Source organism: Homo sapiens, chromosome 1 (genome assembly GCF_000001405.40).
Source record: "Homo sapiens chromosome 1, GRCh38.p14 Primary Assembly".
NCBI lineage: Eukaryota > Metazoa > Chordata > Mammalia > Primates > Hominidae > Homo > Homo sapiens.
Genome location: NC_000001.11, coordinates 212,044,154 through 212,066,501, shown reverse-complemented (window position 1 = coordinate 212,066,501; position 22,348 = coordinate 212,044,154). Strand labels below are relative to the sequence as shown.

The 22,348-nt window shown below is 38.8% G+C and overlaps 1 protein-coding gene and 1 pseudogene across 5 annotated transcripts in view, besides 1 other annotated feature; one reads left to right on the top strand and one right to left on the bottom strand.

The window, feature by feature from the left end:
* Positions 1–22,348, bottom strand: part of DTL (denticleless E3 ubiquitin protein ligase adapter) — a 69,266-nt gene that overhangs the window by 38,512 nt on the left and 8,406 nt on the right. For all 4 annotated transcript variants that reach the window (NM_016448.4, NM_001286230.2, NM_001286229.2 and 1 more), the window contains 5 exons: positions 21,744–21,842; positions 19,290–19,351; positions 19,085–19,205; positions 3,553–3,618; positions 1,473–1,585 (listed from right to left, as the gene is read on the bottom strand). In NM_016448.4, coding sequence (NP_057532.4) covers positions 1,473–1,585; positions 3,553–3,618; positions 19,085–19,205; positions 19,290–19,351; positions 21,744–21,842 — 461 coding nt within the window. The remainder of the gene's footprint in view (positions 1–1,472; positions 1,586–3,552; positions 3,619–19,084; positions 19,206–19,289; positions 19,352–21,743; positions 21,843–22,348) is intronic.
* Positions 8,369–8,569: a silencer, noted in NCBI's record as "peak685 fragment used in MPRA reporter construct". NCBI's record gives its function as "represses an SCP1 promoter by STARR-seq MPRAs in K562 erythroleukemia cells {active_cell/tissue: K562}" and the evidence as "EXISTENCE:reporter gene assay evidence [ECO:0000049][PMID:32103011]".
* RPL21P28 (ribosomal protein L21 pseudogene 28) lies at positions 14,451–15,016 on the top strand (annotated as a pseudogene). The gene has a single exon (NR_026911.1). The product of NR_026911.1 is annotated as a ribosomal protein L21 pseudogene 28 (transcript).

Sequence of the window (22,348 nt, the reverse complement as noted above, 5' to 3'; positions counted from 1 at the left end):
CTTATTTAACTTTCTTGTGCCAGTTTAATCTCTAAAATGTTGCTGTCTACCTAGATTATCATATAGGAGTATCAAAAGAATTATGAATAAAAGATTATTTCATGCCCTGAAAAAGAGGCCCAGTGGAGTCGTACCTCCTAATTGCTATTACTTAACAAGTTATCTTGGCTCAGAACCAGATTAAATGTCTGAAATGCTACTCGTTTTAACTTCATATGGCCTCTACTATCTGCTTCCATTCATGCTTGTGTCCTGTTCACGGTGTATAGTTTTAAGTCTTAATGTCTTAGCAGTCATACTTCCCCCAAAATATTAACTTGTACCCTACACACCAGGAATATGAAAAAAAAATTACATTAAAGTGAGAAAAAGGGCAATTTTTTAAAGAAAAAGGATATATTATGGGCATTGTTTGAGCTCTGACTGTAAGTTATTAGAGTGGTACTATGTTCTACCCATGTGTTTCTCAATATATTTAACAATATTTTGTCAAATGCTTAAAAATAAGCTGGCCAGGCGTGGTGGCTCACATCGGTAATCCCAGCACTTTGGGAGGCTCACGAGGTCAGGAGATTGAGGCTATCCTGGCTAACACGGTGAAACCCCGTCTCTACTAAAAAAACAAAAAATTAGCTGGGCGTGGTGGTGGGCACCTGTAGTCCCAGCTACTTGGGAGGCTGAGGCAGGAGAATGGTGTGAACCTGGGAGGCGGTGCTTGCAGTGAGCCAAGATTGCGCCACTGCACTCCAGCCTGGGTGACAGAGCGAGACTCTGTCTCAAAACAAAAAACATATTTTTCTGTAGTTTGTATTACGAAAACAACAGGTATTCTTTCCCCTTAGAAAACTGCATCACAGTACTTAATATGCTTCTTCAAACTACTCCTCCCCCACTTTTCCTAATGAATTCCACTATACTATAGGGGTGTGTTTGTGTGTGTGTGTTTGTGTCTGTGTGTGTAGAGAGATTTTTAGGGATGAGTAAGGTGAATTTTCAACATGTGCCTCAGGCAACTCTGATGCACACAGTATTTGAAGTGATGGCTATCTCAATTACCCTGATTTGATCATTATACATAGTGTACCCCCCAAAATATGTAAAATTATGTTATCAATTTTTTAAAATGTAGATATTGAAATTGTAAAAAAAAAAACCACTTTCTGCTTAATGGCATGAGACAACATCTTATGTTTAATTCAATCTAATTCTTTAAAACCAAAATAAATTTAAAGATATTTATCAACGAGGCTACATATATTTTAATTCCATCAATAATATAGGTAAATGGCATTATAATTCAGAAGAACCAAAAATTAAAATTTGAGAACCACAAATGTAGGTACTGAATAAGCAATAAACCACTGATATCAAATGAGAATCATGAAGATTCTCATTCACTTAATCAATAGCCTCCCATTTATTCTATCCTACAGATAAGATCTGCACACATGTATACATCTGTAAAACCTTACCACAGAAGGAGCAAGTCCTTTTGAATTCTGTTTCTTCTTGGGTTTTGAAGGGGTTTGCTTGTCTGAGGTATTGTGAGCTCCACTGATTTGATTCACTTGCCTATAAAACCCATCTGAAAGATATTCCAAGGAAATTTAGGTTTCAGGATTCTTACATGCTGAATATAACATGTGTAAATAAAACTTCAATATTAAGTAATTTTTGACCAAGTTGGTGAAATTAGAAGCCAGCAGAGCCAGCTGCACTACATCTCCTGTGGTGAGACTATAATGTATAAAAAGGGAGAGATGTTTATAACAGCTTTAATAATTGCCAAAACTTGGAAACAACCAAGATGTCCTTCAGTAGGTGAATGGATAAACTTTGGTTCATCCAGACAATGGAATATTATTCAGCACTGGAAAGAAATGAGCTTGATAAAGCCATAAAATGACATGGAGGAAATGTGACTGGGGGAAGTAATAAGATCAGTGGTTGCCAGGGCTTAGAGGGAGGTAGGGATGAATAACTGGAGCACAGAGGATTTCTAGAGTAGTGAAACTATTGTGTATGATGCTACAATGGTGGACGCACGTCATTACACATTTGTCAATATCCACAGAATGTGTAATACTAAGAATATATAACACTGATGTAAATTATAAACTCTGAGTGACAGCATGTGTTGACATAGGTTAACTGATTATAACAAATGTACCACTCAGGCACAGGATGTTGTCAGTGGGGAAGTCTGTGTGTGGGCAGGGCAGGGGCTATATGGGAACTCTCTGTACTTTCTGCTCAGTTTTGCTGTGAACCTAAAACTGCTCTACAAAATAAGGTTTATTAAAATTTTTCTAAATAATTTTATTATTTATTTCAAAATAGCTAGAAGAATGGGAGGCTGAGGCAGGCAGATTGCCTGAGGTCAGGAGTTCCAGATCAGCCTGGCCAACATGGTGAAATCCTGTCTGTACTAAAAATACATAACTAGCTGGGAGTGGTGGCATGCACCTGTAATCCCAGCTACTTGAGAGGCTGAGGTAGGAGAATTACTTGAACCCAGGAGGCGGAGGTTGCAGCGAGATGAGATCACGCCACTGCACTCCAGCCTGGGTGACAGAGTGAGACTCCGTCTCCAAAAAAAAAAAAAACAAGAAACAAAAAACCAGAAGAGAAGAATTGTAATGTTCCCAACACAAAGAAAAGATAAATGTTTGAGGTGATGGATATCCCAATTATCCTGATTTGATCATTTCATGTTCTATATATGTATCAAGATATCACATATACCCCTGAAAATATGTAGAACTATGTTACCAATTTTTTAAAATGCAGACACAAAAAAAAATTTTAATAAATTAACTAAAAGTGAACAGTGAGATAATCATCGTCTGCTTAATAGCATCATGAGACAACCATGAGCTTATGTTTAATTCAATCTAATTCTTTAAAATCAGGCTGGGCCTGGTGACTCACGCCTGTAATTTCAGCACTTTGGGAGGCCAGGGTGGGCAGATCACTTGAGGTCAGGAGTTTGAGACCAGCCTGGCCAACATAGTGAAACCCCATTTCTATTAAAAAAATACAAAAATTAGCCAGGCATGGTGGCGGGTGGCTGTAATCCCAGCTACTCAGGAGGCTGAGCTAGAGGAATTGCTGGAACCCAGCGGGTGGGGAGTGCAGTGAGCCAAGTTCACGCCACTGCACTCCAGCCTGGGTGACAGAGACTCCATCTCAAAAAAAAAAAAAATAATAATAATAAAATAAAAAAAATTCTTAAAAACCAAAATAAAGACATTTACCAGTGAGGCTGCGTATTAATATTTTTAAGTCCATCAATAATGTGGGTAAATGGCATTATAATTCAGAAGACAATATGAGATAAATACATGAGTGTAATACTTGTAACAGTGACACTCATGTATTTATCACTCAGGACACTCAGTGAAGATCCTGAGATCTGGAACAGTGAGCAGAAATGGGAAATTATGAGTACATGCCCCCTGGTGGTAATCAGATGAAATCACTAACTCTTTCACTCAAAATTAAGTACAGGGTAATCCCAAATCTCTCAAAATTAAAATAGATCTAGATAACCTTTTTTGTTGCACCTGGTATCCCAGACCATAATGTTGCCATCTCTTCCACCCGTACAGAATACAGCTGTGGGGAAATAAACAGATTATTAAGAGGTTAACAAAACCAGTCAATGACACATATATTTCAGTTTACATTTTGTAGACTATCTATTATGTGCTAGGTACTGTATCTGTCACTGGAGATCAAACATTTAAAAATATATGGCTCAATAACAAATAGGAAAAAGGATTATGAAGAGCTTGAGATGCTAATGTTGAACCAAAACTTCATAGAATCACCCCTCTGTAAATTTTTTAAAACCCATATAAAATATATAGTACAGTTGTAATAAGAATAACAATCAAGAGTCAAAATACAGAGTGCTTCTTATTCTAAATGTTAGCTACTATCCCGCGTGTTTTATAAAAATTATCTCAATCCTTGCTATCAACCTTATTAGGTAAGTACCAAGAGAGGCACAGAGAGGATAAGTAACTTGTAAAGGTATTCCTGGCAGTATGAATCCAGAGCTTACACTCCAAACCTCTAAACTGTATTGGCTCAGTATAAAAATATGGACCAGATCCATATGAAGTTTGTTAAAGAGGTTGCCTGGGATGCAATGGGATTGGAAAAGGCACTATAGGAGAACTTCAATTTATCTGTAATGTTTTATTCTTTAAAATTAAGCCAGAAAAAAACCCTGCTTCCTGTGTGAAAGAGTGAGCACTTAAACTAATCCACTTGCATTAGTTGTACATGGGATAAAACACAAAAACAGCTACCTGAGGGCTCTGTGGAAACTGAATGAAAACATGCAATTTTTCTTACTGATACATAGTATTTTACATATTTATGGGGTATATGTGATATTTTGATGCCTGCATAGAATGTGTTATGATCAAGTCAGGGTATCTGGGGTATCCATCACCTTGTATTCATCATTTCTATGTGCTGGGAACATTTTAAGTTCTCTCTTCTAGCTGCTTGAAATATACAATAATTTGTAAGGTGACAATAGTCAGGTATCGAACAATGGAACTTACACCTTCTATCTAACTTTATGCTTGTATCCATCAAGCAACCTTTCTTCATTCCCCCCTCACACCCACTCACTTTCCAGCCTCTGGTTATTTATCATTCTACTCTCTACCTCCATGATACTGTTTTAGCACCCACATATAAATGGGAACATGTGAAATTTATCTTTTGTGCCTGGCTTGTTTAACATAATGTTGATGTGAATGACATTTCCTTATGGCCAAATAGTATTCAATTGTGTATATACTACATTTTTAAAAACTCTATTTGTTCGTTAATAGACAGGTTGATTCCATATCTTGGCTATTGTGAATAGTGCTGCAACAATGTGACTGCAGTTATTCCTTTGATATACTGTTTGTCTTTGAATCAATACCCAATAATGAGACTGCTAGATCAATGGTAATTCTATTTGTTTTTTTTTTTTTGAGAAATCTTACTGTTTTCCATAGTGACTGGACTAATTTACATTTCCACCAACAGTGTACAAGAGTTCTCTTTTCTCCACATCCTTGCCAGCATGTTTTGTTTAATAATAGCCATTCTAACTGGGTTAAGATGATATCTCACTGTGGTTATTAGTCATGTTGAGCAGTTTTTCACATACCTGTTGGCCATTTGTATGTCTTCTTTCGCGAAATGTCTATTCATGGTCTTTGCCTACTTTTTTTTTTTTTTTGAGACAGGATCTCACTCTATCACTCAGGCTGGAGTACAGCGATGTAATCACCGCTCAGGGCTCAGTGATCCTCTCATCTCAGCCCCACCAAGTAGCTGGGACTACAGTAGTACACCACCATGCCCAGTTAATTTTTTTGTATTTCTTTGTAGAGACAGTTTTGGCACATTGCCCAGTCTGTGTTTGCCTACTTTTTAATATTTTGTCTTTTCTACTGTTGAGTTGTTCGAGTTCCTTGTATACATTCTACATATTATTCCCTTATCAGATAAATAGTTTGCAAATACTTCCCATTCAAAAAGTTTTGGCATGCAGAAGCTTTTTAGTTTAGTATAGTCTAGTTTATCTATTTGTTCTTGTTGTCTGTGCTTTTGAGTTCTTGGCCAGCCATAAAATCTTTGCCTAAACCAATATCCTGAAGTGTTTTCCCTATGTTTTCTTCTAGTAGTTCTATTGTTTCAGGTCTTACATTTAAGTCTTTATACTCCATCTTGATTTTTTTTTTTTTTTTTTGAGACTGAGTCTCACTGTGTCAACCAGGGTGGAGTGCAGTGGTGCTATCTTGGCTCATTGCAATTTCTGCCTCCTGTGCTCAAGCGATTCTCATGCCTCAGCCTTCCAAGCAGCTGGGACTACAGGCGCGCCTACCACGTCAAGCTAATTTTTTGTATTTTAGTAGAGGTGGGGTTTTGCCATGTTGCCCAGGCTGGTCTTGAACTCCTGAGCTCAGGCAATCCACCTGCCTTGGCCTCCCAAAGTGCTAGGATTACAGGCATGAGCCCCATGTCTGGCCTATCTTGATTTTCTTTAATATAGTGAGATAGAGGTACAGTTTCATTCTTCTGCATGTGGATACCCAGTTTTCCCAGCACCGTTTATTGTAGGTTCTTGGCACCTTTATTGAAAATCAATTGGCTGTAAATATATGGATTTATTTCTGAATTCTCTATTCTGTTCCATTGGTCTCTGTGTCTGTTTTTATGCCATGCTGTTTTAGTTATTATATTAGCTATATTCTTTTTGCTTAGGATTGCTTTGGCATTTGGGTTCTTTTTGGCTCCACATAAATTTTAAGATTGTTCTTTCTACTTCTGTGAAAAATGATGTTGGTATTTTGATGGGGATTGCACTGAATCTGTAGATTGCTTGGGGTAGTATGGCCATTTTAAAAATAATAATTTTTTCCCATCCATGAGCATGAGGTCTCTTTCCATTTGTCTCCTCTTCAATTTCTTTGATCGGTTTCATACTTTTCCTTATAGAGGTCTTTCACCTCTTTGGCTAAATTTATTCCTAAGTGTTTTATTTTTTTGTAGCTATTGTAAATGGGATTGCCTTCCTGATTTCTCTCTCAGCTAATTCATTATTGATGTATAGAAATGCTATTTTTTTTGTATGTTGATTTTGTATTCTGCAACTTTTAATGAATTTATCAGATCTGAGGTTTTTTTTTTTTTTTTTTTTTTTTGTAGAGTCTTTAAGTTTTTCTAGATATAAGATCATAACATCAGCCAAGGAAAATACAACTTCTTTTCCAGTTTGGATACTTTTTACTTCTTTCTCTGGCCTGATTGCTCTGGGTAGAACTTCCAGTACCATGTTGAATAGGAGTGGTGAAAAGCGTGCGTCCTTGTCTTGTTCCAGTTCTCAAGGGAAAGGCTTCCAGCTTTTTTCGATTCAGTGTGGTGTTAACTGTGAGTCTGTCATATACAGCCTTTTTATGTTGAGATATGTTCCTTCCATGCCTAGTTGGTTGAGTTTTTTAATTCGGAGGAGATGCTGAATTTTATCGAATTATTTTTCTCTATCTACTAAAATGATCATATGGTTTTTGTCCTTCATTCTGTTGATGACGTATGTATCATGTTTATTGATTTGTCTATATTGAGCTATTCTTGCATTCCTGGGATAAATCCCACTTGATCATGGTGTATTTTTTTTTTTTAATGTGCTGTTGAATTCAGTTTGCTAGTATTCTGTTGAGGATTTTTGCATCTATGTCCGTATGTTCTGTAGTTTTTTTGTGTGTGTCCTTGTGCTTGTCTGGTTTTGGTATCAGAATAATGCTGGCCTTGTAGAATGAGTTAGGGAGAATTCCCATCCTTTTCAATTTTTGGAATAGTTTGAGAACTGGTGTTAGTTCTTTAAAAGTTTGGTAGAATTCAGCAGTGAAGCCATCTGGTCCTGAACTTTTCTTTGTTGGAAGACTTTTTATTATTGCTTTGATCTTGTTACTATTGATTTGATCAGGTTTCCTAGTTCTTTCTGATTCAGTCTTGGTAGGTTGCATGTGTCCTGTAATCTATCCATTTCCTCTAGGTTTTCTAGTTAGTGTATAGTTGTACACAATAGTTTCTGATGATCTTTTGTATTTCTGTATTATCAGTTGCAATGTTTCCTTTTTCATTTCTGATTTTATTTAAGACCATCTTTCTTTTTTTTCGTGGTTAGTCTAGCAAGTACCTTATTGATTTTGTTTATCTTTTCCAAAAACCAACCTTTTGTTTTGTTGACCCTTTTTCTTGTTTTTTTAAGTCTCTATTTAGTTAGGCTCTGCTATTTATTATTTCCCTCTATTAATTTGGGGTTTGGTTTGTTCTTGCTTTTCTAGTTCCTTGAGGTACATTGTTAGATTCTTTTAAAGTCTTTCTACTTTTTTGGTATAGGTGTGTATTGCTATAAACTTTCCTCTTAGTACTGCTTTTATTGTATCCCATGGGTTTTGGTATGTTGGGTTTCAATTTTCATTTGTTTCAAGAATTGTAAAAATTTCCTTAATTTCTTCCTTTACCCAAGTCATTCATAATCATACTGCCTAATTTCCACGTATTTGTAGTTTCCAAACTTCCTTTTGTTGTTGATTTCTAGTTTTATTCCATTGTGGTCTGAGAAGATTCCTGATATTATTTCAACTTTTAAAAATGTGTTGAGACTTGTTTTGTGTCTTAACATGTGGTCTAGCTTGGAGAATATTCTGTTTGCTGATGAGAAGAATGTGTATTCTGTAGCTGTTGGATGAAATGTTCTGTAAATATCTCTTAGGTCCATTTGGTCTAATGTGCAGTTTAAATCCAATTTTCTTTCTAGATATCTGTCTAACGCTGAGTGGGGTGGCTGAAGTCCTCAACTGTTATTGCACTGGAGTCTCTCCCTTTAGATCTAATAGTATTGGCTTTATATATCTGTGTGCTCCAGTGTTAGGTATATACATGTTTACAATTGATATATCCTTTGGCTGAACTGATTTATCATCATAGAATAACCTTCGTTTCTTCTTACTGCTTTTGACATAAAGTCTGTTTTATCTGATGTAAGTATAGCTATTCTTGCTTGCTTTTGGTTTCCATTTGCATGTAGTATCTTTTTACATTCCTTTATTTTCAGTTTATACTTGTCTTCACAGGTGAGATGCGTTTCTTGTAGGCAGCATATAATTAGGTCACATTTGTCTATTTGCCCAGTCTGTACTTTTCAAATGGAAAGTTTAACATGTTTACATTCAACGTTATTGATATGTGAAGGCTTATTCCTAACTTTATTGATTGACTTCTGGTTGTTCTGTATATCCTTTGTTCCTTCCTTTCTCTGGTACTTTTTATCATTATGGTTTCATGGTATTCGGTAGTGGTAACATTTCAGCCTTTCCTCTTTCTTGTTTGTGTGTTTGCTTACCAGTAGTTTTTATATTTTCTTGTGTTTTCATGACAGTAAATATTGCTCTTCACTTCCCGGTATAAGACTCCTTTTAGTATTTTCTGTACGGCCCATCTACTGGTGATTAATTTCCTCAGCTTTTGCTTGTTTGGGAAAGACTTTATTTCTCTTTTATTTATGAAGGATAATTTTACTGGGTGTAGTATTCTTGGGTGGCAGGTTTTTTTTTTTTTCTTTAAGCATGTTGAATATATCATCTCATTCTCTCCTGAACTATAAGATTTCTGCTGAGAAATCTGCTGTTAGGTCTGATGGGGTTTCTTTTATAGGTGACTAGATGTTTTTTCTCTGCTTTTAGAATTTTCACTTTGTCTTTGACTTTTGAGTTTGACTACAATGTGCCATGGAAAAAAAACCTTTTTGAATTATATCCATGTGGGGATCTTGGAGCCTCCTGTATGTGGATATATAAATCCCTTGCTAGACTTGGGAAGTTTTCACCTATTATTTTGTTAAATAGGCTTTCTAACCCTTTCATTTTATCTTTGCCTTCTGGGACACTGAAAATTCATATATTTGGCCACTTTATAGTGTCCCATATGCCATGAAAGCTTTAGTCATTCATGTTTATTATTTTTTCTCTATTTTTGTCTGAGTAGGTTATTTTAAAAGATCTTCAAAACATCTTCAAGTTCTGGGATTCTTCTGCTTGATCTAGTCTATTGTTGAAGCTTTCAAAGGTATTTTGTATTTCATTAAATGAATTCTGTAGTTCCAGAATTTAGCTCTATTTTATGATACCTATCTCTTTGGTAGATTCCTCATTCATTTCCTCAATTATTTTTCTGTTTCTTTGTATTGTCTTTCAGAATTCTCTTTTCTCTCACTGAGCTTCCTTAGTATCAGTATGTTGGATCATTTTTCCAGGATTTTGAGAATTCCTTTTTGATTGGGATTTGTTGCTGAAGAATTACTGTGTTCCTTTGGATGTGTCACATATCCTTGCTTTTTGATTTCTCTGTGTTTTTATGTTGATATTTGTGCACCTGGTGTAACAGTTGCTTTTTCCAATTTTTTGAATTTGGTTTGTAGTGGAGAACATTTTCCTGAAGATGTATCTATGGTGATGGTTGGAGAGGACACTTGGCTTTGGTTCTGGATGCAAGCAGTAGCATAGTCTCTATCATTTCTTTTGGCCATAGAGTCATTGGTATCTGGTTTCGTTGGTAGATTAGAGTGTGGTTTTTAGTGCAGACTGGTTAAGTTTTGCCAGAAATTGAAATACCAGGTGGGCCAGTCTTCAGGCCCCAGTGGTGGCAGCAGTGGTCTGAGCCTGTGTGTCCTTTGGCCCCAAGGCAGCATACGCTGGCACTGGTGTTAATGGATCCAGGCAGGTAGATTCTTGGGCCTTCAGATGACTTACTCAGGTATTGGAAATGGCAGCAGTGGGCCAGGTGGGTGGGCAAATTCTTGAGCCCCTGGGCAGGAGGTGTGGAGTGGTGTGGATGATGACAGTAGCAGTGATGAAAAAATCCCCTGGAACCCAAGTGTTCCGTACTAGTGTTGGCGGTGGCTGTGACAGGTTGGGCAGGCCAGTCCCTAGACTTGCAGGTTGCATGTACAGGTTGGTGCCAGCTATGGTGGTAGCAGCAGATTGAGTAGGCCCAAGTTTAGACTCTAGGAGGAGTGCTCAGGCACCACTGGTGATGAACTGAACTGGGCAATCCTCAGGCCTCCCAGAGGGTGTGCTTGGGTAGTGGCGTGTATGAAGCCAGGCTAGGTGGAACTGCCCTCAGTGACCCTGGTGGTGCATGCAGGTGCTGGCTATGGAAGGCAGGGGTGGGGTGATCCCCAGGCTTCCAGTGGAATGCTCAGGTAAGGGGCAGCAGCAGCTATGCTGCAGTACTGACATGCAGAGTGGGGTTGCTTTCCCTGGGAGTACCCATAGGCAGGCAGTTAAACGACTGAGTTTTGCTTACACCTCTGCCCTGCAGCAGCCCAGAGTGGTGGTGGTTGCAGGAAGTGGAATTTGTCCTTGGGGAGTGTGAAAATGTGCAGCTGCCCCTCCACTCAGGGGAATGAGGTCGCTGTGTGTGGCTCCCAATTCAGCCTGGGTGGCAGGGCAGGACACAGTCTGGTGGGGGCTGGGCTCTGAAAATCAGTGTTACAGCTGCTTAGGACTTGAGGGTTTGTGGGACCCAGTATGATATCTCTCTGGAGCAATGCCTTCATGAAGTCTCCAGGCAGCTCCCTATGTTAGTCTCAGGGTCCGTGAGCATCAAGGGGTCTCCCATGGCTATTATTAGGGTTCACAGTGGGTATTTGGGCTGCTGGGGGTCTCCCACTTACTCTGTCCCTGCATAGGAAGCCTCTCCAGATTCCTAGCTGATCCCAGCCAAACAGGCTGCTTTACTTTTCTCTCCTTCCTTGCTTCCGGAGCTTCTTATCACTTCTCTGTTGAATCCCAGTGTTCTCTCTTAGATGATCTATTTGAAGGGTGATTATCTACGATCTCACTGTCACTATAATATCTCACTATTTTGGTTCCACTCTGTGAAAGAGGTGAGTACCAGATGCATCTAGTCAGCCATGTTGAAACCATTCATCTAATTCAGCACTTTTTAAGTGTCAGGCACTATTCATTCCTTTTAACAGCTTTGGTTGTACAGAATGTCACTCGGGTTCATTTTTCCCCTTTTGTTGGAATTTACTCCGCCTAAAATAGAAACTGTTGTTTGGGGATAAAATTTACTCCTCCCTTTAAGTTACCACTTTCCTCCTTTTTTTTTTTTTTTTTTTTTGAGGTGGTGTCTCGTTGTCACCCAGGCTGGAGTGCAGTGGCACGATTTTGGCTCACTGCAACCTCTGTCTCCCAGGTTCAAGCGCTTCTCCCGCCTCAGCCTCCCGAGTAGCTGGGATTACAGGCATGTGTCACCACACCCGGCTAATTTTTTATATTTTTGGTAGAGACAGGGTTTCACCATCTTGGCCAGGCTGGTCTCGAACTCCTGACCTCAGGTGATCAGCCCACCTCAGCCTTGCAAAGTGCTGGGATTACAGGCATGAGCCACCGTGCCTGGCCCACTTTCCTCTTAAACATGCAATTTTTGGAGGAGAGTCAACATCTTTAGCAAATGATTGGCCTGAGATTAAGTTACTGGGTTTTTTGGTGTTTTTTTTTTTTTTGTGTGTGTGGTTTTACCTTGAGGACAGCCAAAGTTGCAGCATTAATACCAGGCAGCTAAAATGCAAATTAAAAAATCTGCCATCTTTCAAGCCAGAAGAACAAGGAAAAGGAGACTGGGAGCAACAAGAACAGTCAGAGAGTGAGGGGATGGGGAAAACCTGGAGACAGCTAGAGAAAGGGAACCCATGATTCCGTGTTTAAACTCAGTCCAAGTCTCTGGCTGACCCCTGTACCATATGGGCAAGAGAAACTGAAAGCAGTTTGCAGCTGAGGCTTAAACTAAAGAAAATAATTGAGATAAGATCCACTGCCCTCCTGTAGGTGTGACAGTCTTCAATTTGGATCCAAACAAGTGAATTGCCTGTTAAAAAAGGAACACCAACTCTTTTCTAAGCAATATAACAGAATCTAGAATCCAACATACCACTCGCAATGTCCTGAATATAATCTTAAATTACTTGACTTACAAAGAGCCAGGAAAACGAATAATTCTCAAGGGAAAATAAATCAATGGAAGCCAATCCCAAGATAATCCAGATATTGATTTATCAGATAAGGTTGTAAAGGATACATAACCATGTTAAATGAGTTAAAGAAACGTACACTTAGCCTGGGCAACATGGCGAAACCCCATCTCTACAAAAAATACAAAAATTAGCTGGGTGTGGTGGCATGCACCTATAGCCTCAGCTACTTGGGAGGCTGAGGTGGGAGGATCACTTGAGCCCGGGAGGCAGAGGTTGCAGTGAGCAGATTTCGCCACTGCACTCCAAACTGGGTGACAGAGTGAGACCCTGTCTCAAACAACAACAACAACAAAAAACAAAAAAAGGAAGAAAAAAATATATACACTTGTAATCAATAAAAAGATGATAAATCTCAGCAGGAAACAAACAAACAAACAAACAAATGAAGGTCAGCCACTGTGGCTCATGCCTGTAATCCCAGCATTTTGGGAGGCTGGGGTTGACAGATCCCTTGGGCCCAGAAGTTCAAGACCAACCATGGGTGAAACCCCATCTCTACAAAAAATACAAAAAGAAATTAGCCAGGCATGGTGGCATGTGCCTATGATCATGCTACTGCCCTCTAATCTGGGCAACAGTGCCAGACCCTGTCTTAAAAAAAACATAAGAAAATTTTAGAACTGAAAACCAGTATCTGAAATTAAAAAAAAAAATCACTGGATAGGCCTAAGAACAGGCTGGAGAAAATAGAGAAAGTGAACTTTAGGACAAATTAATAGAAATCATTCAATTTGAAGAAGAGAGAGAAAAATAGAACTGAACATTAGGCTAAATTAAAGAAGCCAGTCACAGAAGACCACATATTGTATCATTCCATTTGTATGCATGTGTATAATGGGCAAATCTATAGAGACCGAAATTACTATAGTGGTTGTATAAGGTTGGAAGGAATGGGTGAAAGTACTGCTAATGCGTTCAAGTTTCTTTTTGGACTGATGAAAAGATTCTAAATTTAGATTGTGGTGATAGCTGCACGACTTAGTGAATAAACTAAAAACCACTAAACCGTGTACTTTAAATGGATGAATTTTATGGCTTGTTCATTTTATCTTAAGTTTAGGATAACTGAAAAAAAACAAAACCTCAAGGATGCATGGGATAATTTAGAAAAGTCAAATACATGAGTAATTGAAAAAAAATATATATATATGGGTAATTAAGGTAACAGAAGAAGCAGGGAGGAGAGAGAATATGAATAAATTAGGCAGAAAAAATATTTCTTTTTTTTTTTTTTTTGAGGCAGAGTCTCGCTCTGTTGCCCAGGCTGGAGTGTGGAGTGCAGTGGTGCGATCTCAGCTAACTGCAACCTCCGCCTCCCAGGTTCAAGCGATTCTCCTGCCTCAACCTCCTGAGTAGCTGGGATTACAGGTGCCCACCACAACGCCTGGCTAATTTTTGTATTTTTAGTAAAGATGGGATTTCATCATGTTGGCCTAGCTGGTCTTGAACTCCTGACTTCAGGTGATCTGCCTGCCTCAGCCTCTCAAAGTGCTTGGATTACAGGCCTGAGCCACCACACCTGGCCCAGAAAAAGTATTTCAAGAAATGATAGAAAAATTCCTATTCAGTAAAAAGGAATTTACAAATACAAAAAGCTAAAACAAGCCTCAAACAGGAAAACTGTGAAGGGAACCATGACTAGACATACCACAGTCAAACTGCTAGAAACCAAAGACAAAAAATCCTGAAAATAGTCAGGAAAAACAGCATATTATATACAGGGAAATGATTTTAACAACCACAGAGTTCTCAATGAAAGCAGAGATGATAGTGGAACAACTTTAGCAATGAAAGGAAAAAAAAGCTGTTGACCCAGAATTTCATATCCAGCTTCTTTTCGGCCGGAACCGCCATCTTCCAGTAATTCGCCAAAATGACAAACACAAAGGGAAAGAGGAGAGGCACCCGATATATGTTCTCTAGGCCTTTTAGAAAACATGGAGTTGTTCCTTTGGCCACATATATGCGAATCTATAAGAAAGGTGATATTGTAGACATCAAGGGAACGGGTACTGTTCAAAAAGGAATGCCCCACAAGTGTTACCATGGCAAAACTGGAAGAGTCTACAATGTTACCCAGCATGCTGTTGGCATTGTTGTAAACAAACAAGTTAAGGGCAAGATTCTTGCCAAGAGAATTAATGTGCGTATTGAGCACATTAAGCATTCTAAGAGCCGAGATAGCTTCCTGAAACGTGTGAAGGAAAATGATCAGAAAAAGAAAGAAGCCAAAGAGAAAGGTACCTGGGTTCAACTAAAGCGCCAGCCTGCTCCACCCAGAGAAGCACACTTTGTGAGAACCAATGGGAAGGAGCCTGAGCTGCTGGAACCTATTCCCTATGAATTCATGGCATAATAGGTGTTAAAAAAAAAAAATAAAGGACCTCTGGGCTAAAAAAAAAAAAAAAAAAAAAAAAAAAAAAAAAAAAAAAAAAAAGAATTTCATATCCAACAAAAATGTCCTTCGAGAATGATGATGAAATAAGGACATTTTCAGGTAAAGAAAAACTAAGGTAAATTATTACCATCAGACTCACACTATAAGAAAAGTTAAATACGTTGTTCAAGGAAATGATATCAGAGGAGAGGAAAAAGATGGCATTGCCAGGGAGAAATCATGAGTTCAGGGAGGAATTGTGGGTTCACTTTTTGATATGTTGAATCTGAAGTACTTGCAGAAAGGTTAAGGCTAGGAATATAGATCTGGGTCAACACAAGTAGGATGAAAAACAAAACAAAACTGGTACAGATGAAACTGTCCAAGAAGGTATAGGTTGAAAGCAAAAAAAGGCTAAACACCAAATCCTGGGCCTTGCTAACACTTCAACCTAGGTAAAAGCAACTATGAAAGAATAAAGAGAAGGACAGAAGGAGTACCAGAGGGAGTGGGATATCACAGATTCTAAGCAAAGACTTTTATTGAAATTCTATAAAAGACCAAAAGTGTAACATATTATACAAGCAGAAGAAAAGACCTGAAAAGTTTCGTGCTTTCTGATAATTAGATAATTAATAACCTTAGCAAGAGTGATTTCAGGAAGAGGGCTAGATGTGGAAAATAGATTAAACCAAATTAAAGGAGATGGAAAATATGAAACAGTAACAACTAAAAGAGAACACAGGGTTAAGATATTTGGGAAAATAGGCCAAATATCTTCTCCTAAGGAGAAACAGCCAATAGAGAGGGAGAACTTGAAGATACAGGGTAGTGGGGATACATGTGATGGTGGAAGGTCTTGGGAAGGATCAAGAATGTTTCTCAATTTTAGCTACACATTGAAATCCCTTGAGGAACTTTGAAAAAATAAATGCCTGGCCCACTTGCAAGAGATTCTCATTTAATTAAAACTTGAGAATGAAGAATGAGAAAGAAGGTGTAAATATAGGTAAGTTTGTAGGAGAGGAAATAAATTTATAATCAATTTTAATTATCCACTAGAAGTTCTAATACCTGCCCTTTTGCCACACAAAGCACTTATCTGAGTCCATTTTCTTTGCTTTTAGTTGGTAGATACTTAGGGAAGGCAAATTCCATTAGTGTGACTATGTCCAGTTAGGATTATTTGTATCCTACCTATGTAGGGTGGAAGGAACTGGACCAAAGATGTTTTCTACCATACTACCTACAAAAACCCCCACAAAACACTAAGTATTTATATGGTCCTCTGATTGATTATAGATAGATCGATTGATTTAATTAATTTATTTTGAGACTGGGTCTCACTCTATTGCCCAGGCTAGAGTATGATGGCACAATCACAGCTCACTACAGCTGCAAACTCCTGGGCTCAAGCGATCCTCCCACCTCAGCCTCCCAAGTAGCTCGGACTATAGGTGCATACCACTGTACCAAGCTAATTTTCTGTTTTCTTATAGGGTCTCACTATGTTACCCAGGCTGGTCGTGAACTCCTGGCCTCAAGCAATCCTTCTCAGCCTCCCAAGTTGCTGGGATTATAGGGATGAGCCACCATAATGAGCTCAGATTAAAAAAAAAAAAGTATTCATATTTCACCTCACTTTTATGTCTACAATATTTTTGTGACCTAAATAGACTAGGTATTTATCTCATAAAATTAGAAAATGAAGGCCCAAGGAGGTTAAAATCACTTTGCCCAGGAGGCCAGAATAAAACAGAGGGCTTCCATGTTTAGTTGCAAAGGTTTGCCCTGCAAGAGGGCTTATGGCTGATGGAGTGAGTGGAGCTATTATCTATTCTGTTTTAACAAAACAAACCACAGGGCTTGGGAGCAGTATCCGATCAGACTAATTTACACTAGAGTACCTATGAACTACTGAAAATCATGAAAAAAGCCACCTGCCCCAATCTCTAACTCAGTGCCTTTTCTTCTACAGCTCATTGTCACAGGCTGATTCACATGCAGAGTTGTAAAAATTAAGCAAAAGGACCAAAAGATATGTTTTCCACTACTCTTTAGTTAGGTAAATTTTCATTATCTTAAAATTATGTTTACAAACTCAGAGTGAACTATGACACAAGAGTGTAGAAAACTAGAACACAAGCATACCTAACTACTTAAATATGTTAATAAAGTTATGCAGAAATAAGAAAAATCATGCCATATTTCCCCTTCAAGGTTCCAGTTTCAACTGCAACCACAGTAAATTAAAACCGACTTTCTTAAAAGTCCAAGCCAGGCTGGGCATGGTGGCTCATGCCTGTAATCTCAGCACTTTGGGAAGCCAATGCGGGCAGATCACTTGAGGTTAGGAGTTCGAGACCAACCTGGCCGACATGGCGAAACCCTGTCTCTACTAAAAATACAAAAATTAGCTGGGCGTGGTGGTACACGCCTGTAATCCCAGTTACTTGGGAAGTTGAGGCATGAGAATTGCTTGAACCTGGGAGGTGGAGGTTGCAGTGAGCCAAGATCACGCCACTGCATTCCAGCCTGGGCAACAGAGTGAGACTTTGTCTCAAAAAACAAACAAACAAACAAACAAACAAACAAACAAAAAACCAGTCCAAACCAGCTTAACCTCCTAAATGGCTCAGGTGAATAAATGAAAACATTTGATTTTTAAAACAGAGTACTTTTTTTTTTTTTAGTGATAAAGGAGATTGTAATGTCTGTCACTATTATTCAGAGATTAAAGTCAGATTACTTCAGAGACTCCTTTGAGAGAAATGTTTGTTGGTCCATTTAAAAAAAATTATTTAGTGAGAAACAAATGGAAGGAGAAAACAAACAAACAAAAACAGAAATGAAGAGCTTATTCAGACACCACTGATAAGTTTTTCCCTAGCTGCTACAGTACTGTGCTGTGTTATATAACTCTTAAATCTTCCTTGTCCATTATAACAATATAAACATAGGAAAATCAATTTTAAGTAATAGTTGAAAACATAATAGAAAATTGGGCCATTTGGCCGGGTGTGGTGGCTCATGCCTGTAATCCCAGCACTTTAGGAGGCCGAGGCAGGTGGATCACGAGGTCAGGAGTTCAAGATCAGCCTCGCCAAGATGGTGAAACCCCAGATCTACTAAAAACACAAAAATTAGCTGGGCGTGGTGGCAGGCTCCTGTAATCCCTCCCAGGTACTTGGGACGCTGAGGGAGAGGATTGCTTGAACCCGGGGGATGGAGGCTGCAGTGAGCTGAGATCGAGCCTCTGCACTCCAGCCTGGGTGACAGAGACTCCGTCTCAAAAAACAAACAAACAAACAAAAAACAAAAAACAGGCCATTTAAACCAAATACATGATAAATTTTTAGGTAGAAAAAAATTATGTTGTTTATCAGCCTTATAGCTCATTTAGATTTTACAAGCAGAGTTAAAGTAACTCTGTTTTACAAATAGTTAATGAGTGCCCAGTACAAGGTTTTAACTTCAATGAACAATCAAGGTTGAACAATGGTATTGTAGCTGTTTATAAATCTTTACCTTATGTGCAAGATTACAGAAAAACTTATCAAAGACTCTTGACTTTCAGGGACAAGCTAGAGATAATGTCCAGAAGAGTGGGCCTAAAACCAATTTAATTTTATTAAGGTTTTCAGTCATGTTAGAATCTTAATCACCTGGCTGGGTGCAGCGGCTCACGCCTGTGATCCTAGCACTTTGGGAGGCTGAGGCAGGTGGATTGCCTGAGCTCAGGAGTTCTAGACCAGCCTGGCCAACATGGTGAAACCCCGTCTCTACTAAAAATACAAAAATTAGCTGGGCATGGTGATGTGCGCCTGTAGTCCCAGCTACTCCGGAGGCTGACGCAGGAGAATCACTTGAACCTGGGAGGCAGCGGAGGTAGCAGTGAGCCGAGATGGCGCCACTGCACTCCAGCCTGGGCAACAGAACGAAACTGTCTCCAAAAAAAGAATCTTAATCATCTATGTAGGTAAAGCAGTAACTTTGACAGGGGAAAGGGTAGAAACAATTACAGGTTCTTATCTCCCAACTGCAAAGAAGGTTAAGGAGATGAAAGAAGATAAGCACAAACCTACCTTTCTCAAACTTAGAAAAGGCAACTGACTTGAGGCTGCATTGATGACCTTTGCATGTTCCAATCAGCTCACCAGCTTTTACGTCCCAAAATTTGGCTGTTTGATCACCTGCTGCTGTAACCTTTCAAAAATAAGGTAAACACAATTTAATAAAGCACTCCCTTATCAGTATTTACCCAGATCCTAATGAAATAAAGTCACTTACAAGTTTAAGTTCACCAGGAACCCAGGCCAGGTCAAAGACGGCATTCCAGTGAGCCATCCATTCTAAACAAAGAAAATGGTAAATGTGAAATGTCTAAATTGTATTCTGTGGTACCCATATTAATATAACTTTAAATGCCTGGAAAGCTGTAGTAGTAAAAAGATCAGTAGTTGATCATTAGAGAAATGCAAATCAAAACCACAATGAGATATCATTTCACGTCAGTCAGAATGGCAATTATTTAAAAAGTCAAGAAACAACAGATGCTGGCAAGGCTGCGGAGAGATAGCAACAGTTTTACACTGTTGGTGGGAATGTAAATTAATTCAACCGTTGTGGAAGACAGTGTGGCGCTTCCTCAAAGACCTAGAACCAGAAATACCATTTGACCCAGCAATCCCATTACTGGGTATATACCCAAAGGAACATAAATCATTCTATTATAAAGATACATGCATGCATATGTTCACTGCAGCATTATTCACAATGGCAAAGACATGGAATCAACCCAAATGCCCATCAATGATAGATTGGATAAAGAAAATGTGGTACATATACACTGTGGAATACAATGCAGCCATAAGAGGAATGAGATCATGTCCTTTGCAGGGACATGGATGGAGCTGGAAGTCATTATCCTCAGCAAACTAATGCACAAACAGAAAACCAAACACCGTATGTTCTCACTCATAAGTGGGAGCTGAACAACGAGAACACATGGACACAGGGAGGGGAACAACACACACTGGGGCCTCTTGAGGGGGAGCATGGAGAGGGAGAACATCAGGAAAAATAGCTAATGCATGCTGGGCTTAATACCTAGGTGATGGGTTGGTATGTGCAGCAAACCACCACGGCACATGTTTACCTACGTAACAAACCTGCATGTCCTGCACATGTACCCTGGAACTTAAAATAATAAAAATAAAGATGCACACATAAAAAATCAGTAGTCAGCACCCTTTGGCATGAGCAAAGAGAATTTGTGGACTCACAGAAATTACACATTCCCTTAATTACCACATGAGAACTACTACCATCTGATGTCAAATTCCTTTCCATGAGTTCACTAGTAATATATTCTCTACAATGGAATCTTTCTGAAATATATTCCAGTTCAAAAATCTTCATGATACTGGCTGGGCACAGTGGCTAACACCTGTAATCCCAGCACTTTGGGAGGCCAAGACAGGCAGATCACTTGAGGCCAGGAGTTAACCAGCCTGGCTAATGTGGTGAAACCCCATCTCTACCAAAAATACAACAACAACAACAACAACAACAACAAAACCAAAAACAAAAAGAACTTCATGATGCTCTCTGAATGGAATGTAAAATACTTTAGTTTGACATTCAACATTTTGCATTCTTTAGTCTTTATCTTGGTTGCAAGCCTCATCTCTCACTGTTCTCGATACCTTATTCCAAACAAATTGGTCACTTCCTATTATATCCTATGCTTTTCTATCTCTAGACCTTTGCTAATGCTTTTCCCGTCACCTGGAGTGCCCCCTTCCATTTCCACTGGTCTAAATACCATAATCCAACTCAAATGCCCCATGCTTCGTAAGTTTTCCTAGCCTTCTTTACTACATGAGAGCTTTCTCTTTGACACCAGTGTGTTTTCTTTCTACTTCTACATCATTTATAGTCTTTGTTTTATTTCAGTTATTTCAACACTTGACTTATGGGTTCCAAATTATCAGCTTCTTAAGGTTAGAACTTTGCTTTAAACATGAAAAATGCTTGATTAATATAAGTATTTTAAAGCAACACTTCTCTAATCACATTAAGTGTTAAAGATTTAACTTTTTGAAGAATTGTTTTTAATCCTAAAAAGTATTTTTCTTAACTTTGAGTAAAGGCATTGTCACAGTTAACAGTTATTGACAGATAGGCAGTCCACCATTCACATCTAATCTGGTCCCTAAAAAGACTTAATCAGAAGTTAATATCATTGGGAATGTGTTATATATACTACAGATGTTTGTCCCTTCCCAAATCTCATGTTATAATTTAATCCCCAAAGTTGGAAGTGGGACCTAATGGGAGGCATTTGGGTCATGGGGGTGGATCCCTCATGAACAGATTAACGCCCTCCCTAAGAGGTGAAAAGATGAGTGAGTTCTCACTCTATTAGTTCCCTGGAGAGCTGATTGTTAAAAAAGAGCTTGGTAGTACACCCTTCTCTTGCCATGTGACCTCTGTATTCATGGGCTCCTCTTTGCCTTCTGCCAGGAGTGGGGGCAGCCTGAGGCCTTCACCAGATGTCTACTATTCTAGCCAGCAGAATCACACACCAAGTAAACTTTTTCTATATAAACTACCCAGTCTCAGTTATTCCTTTATAGCAACAGAAGACAGACTAAAACAGAATGTGTTCAAATAATAATATACTTGAGGATGTGTAAAGTTTTTTAAATGTTAAAACAAAAATTGTAGACCTAGACTTACCTTTGAAGCACTTCTTTCTGAAACTTTGTGATTCTGTGTTATACAATCGAACAAAGCCTTCTTCATTGGCAACTGCTAGTACATGTTCCATATTGGGAGCTAAAGCAGAAATAAAGAAAAAAATATATAGAGTAACACAATTTTTTTTTTTTTTTTCAGACGGAGTCTTGCTCTGTCACCCAGACTGGAGTGCAATAGTGCAGTTTGGCTCACTGCAACCTCCACCTCCTGGGTTCAAGTGATTCTCCTGCCTCAGCATCCCAAGTAGGTGGGATTACAGGCATGCGCCACCACGCCCAGCTAATTTTGTATTTTTACTAGAGATGGGGTTTCACCATGCTGGTCAGGCTGCTCTCGAACTCCTGACCTCAAGTGATCCACCCACCTCAGCCTCCCAAAGTGCTGGGATTACAGGCGTGAGCCACCATGCCTAGCTACAAAAATTTTTAAGCTTACTCAAAACCACCAAAATTTTCTTCAGATAATCTCTTATTTAGAGAAGGGCTAAATCGAGGGTAGTACTTAAAACAAGAGTGGTACTGGCCAATGGCAAACAAAGGCATATGATGATGTAGGCTGCCAGCAGGCTGAGTCTATTAGTTTTT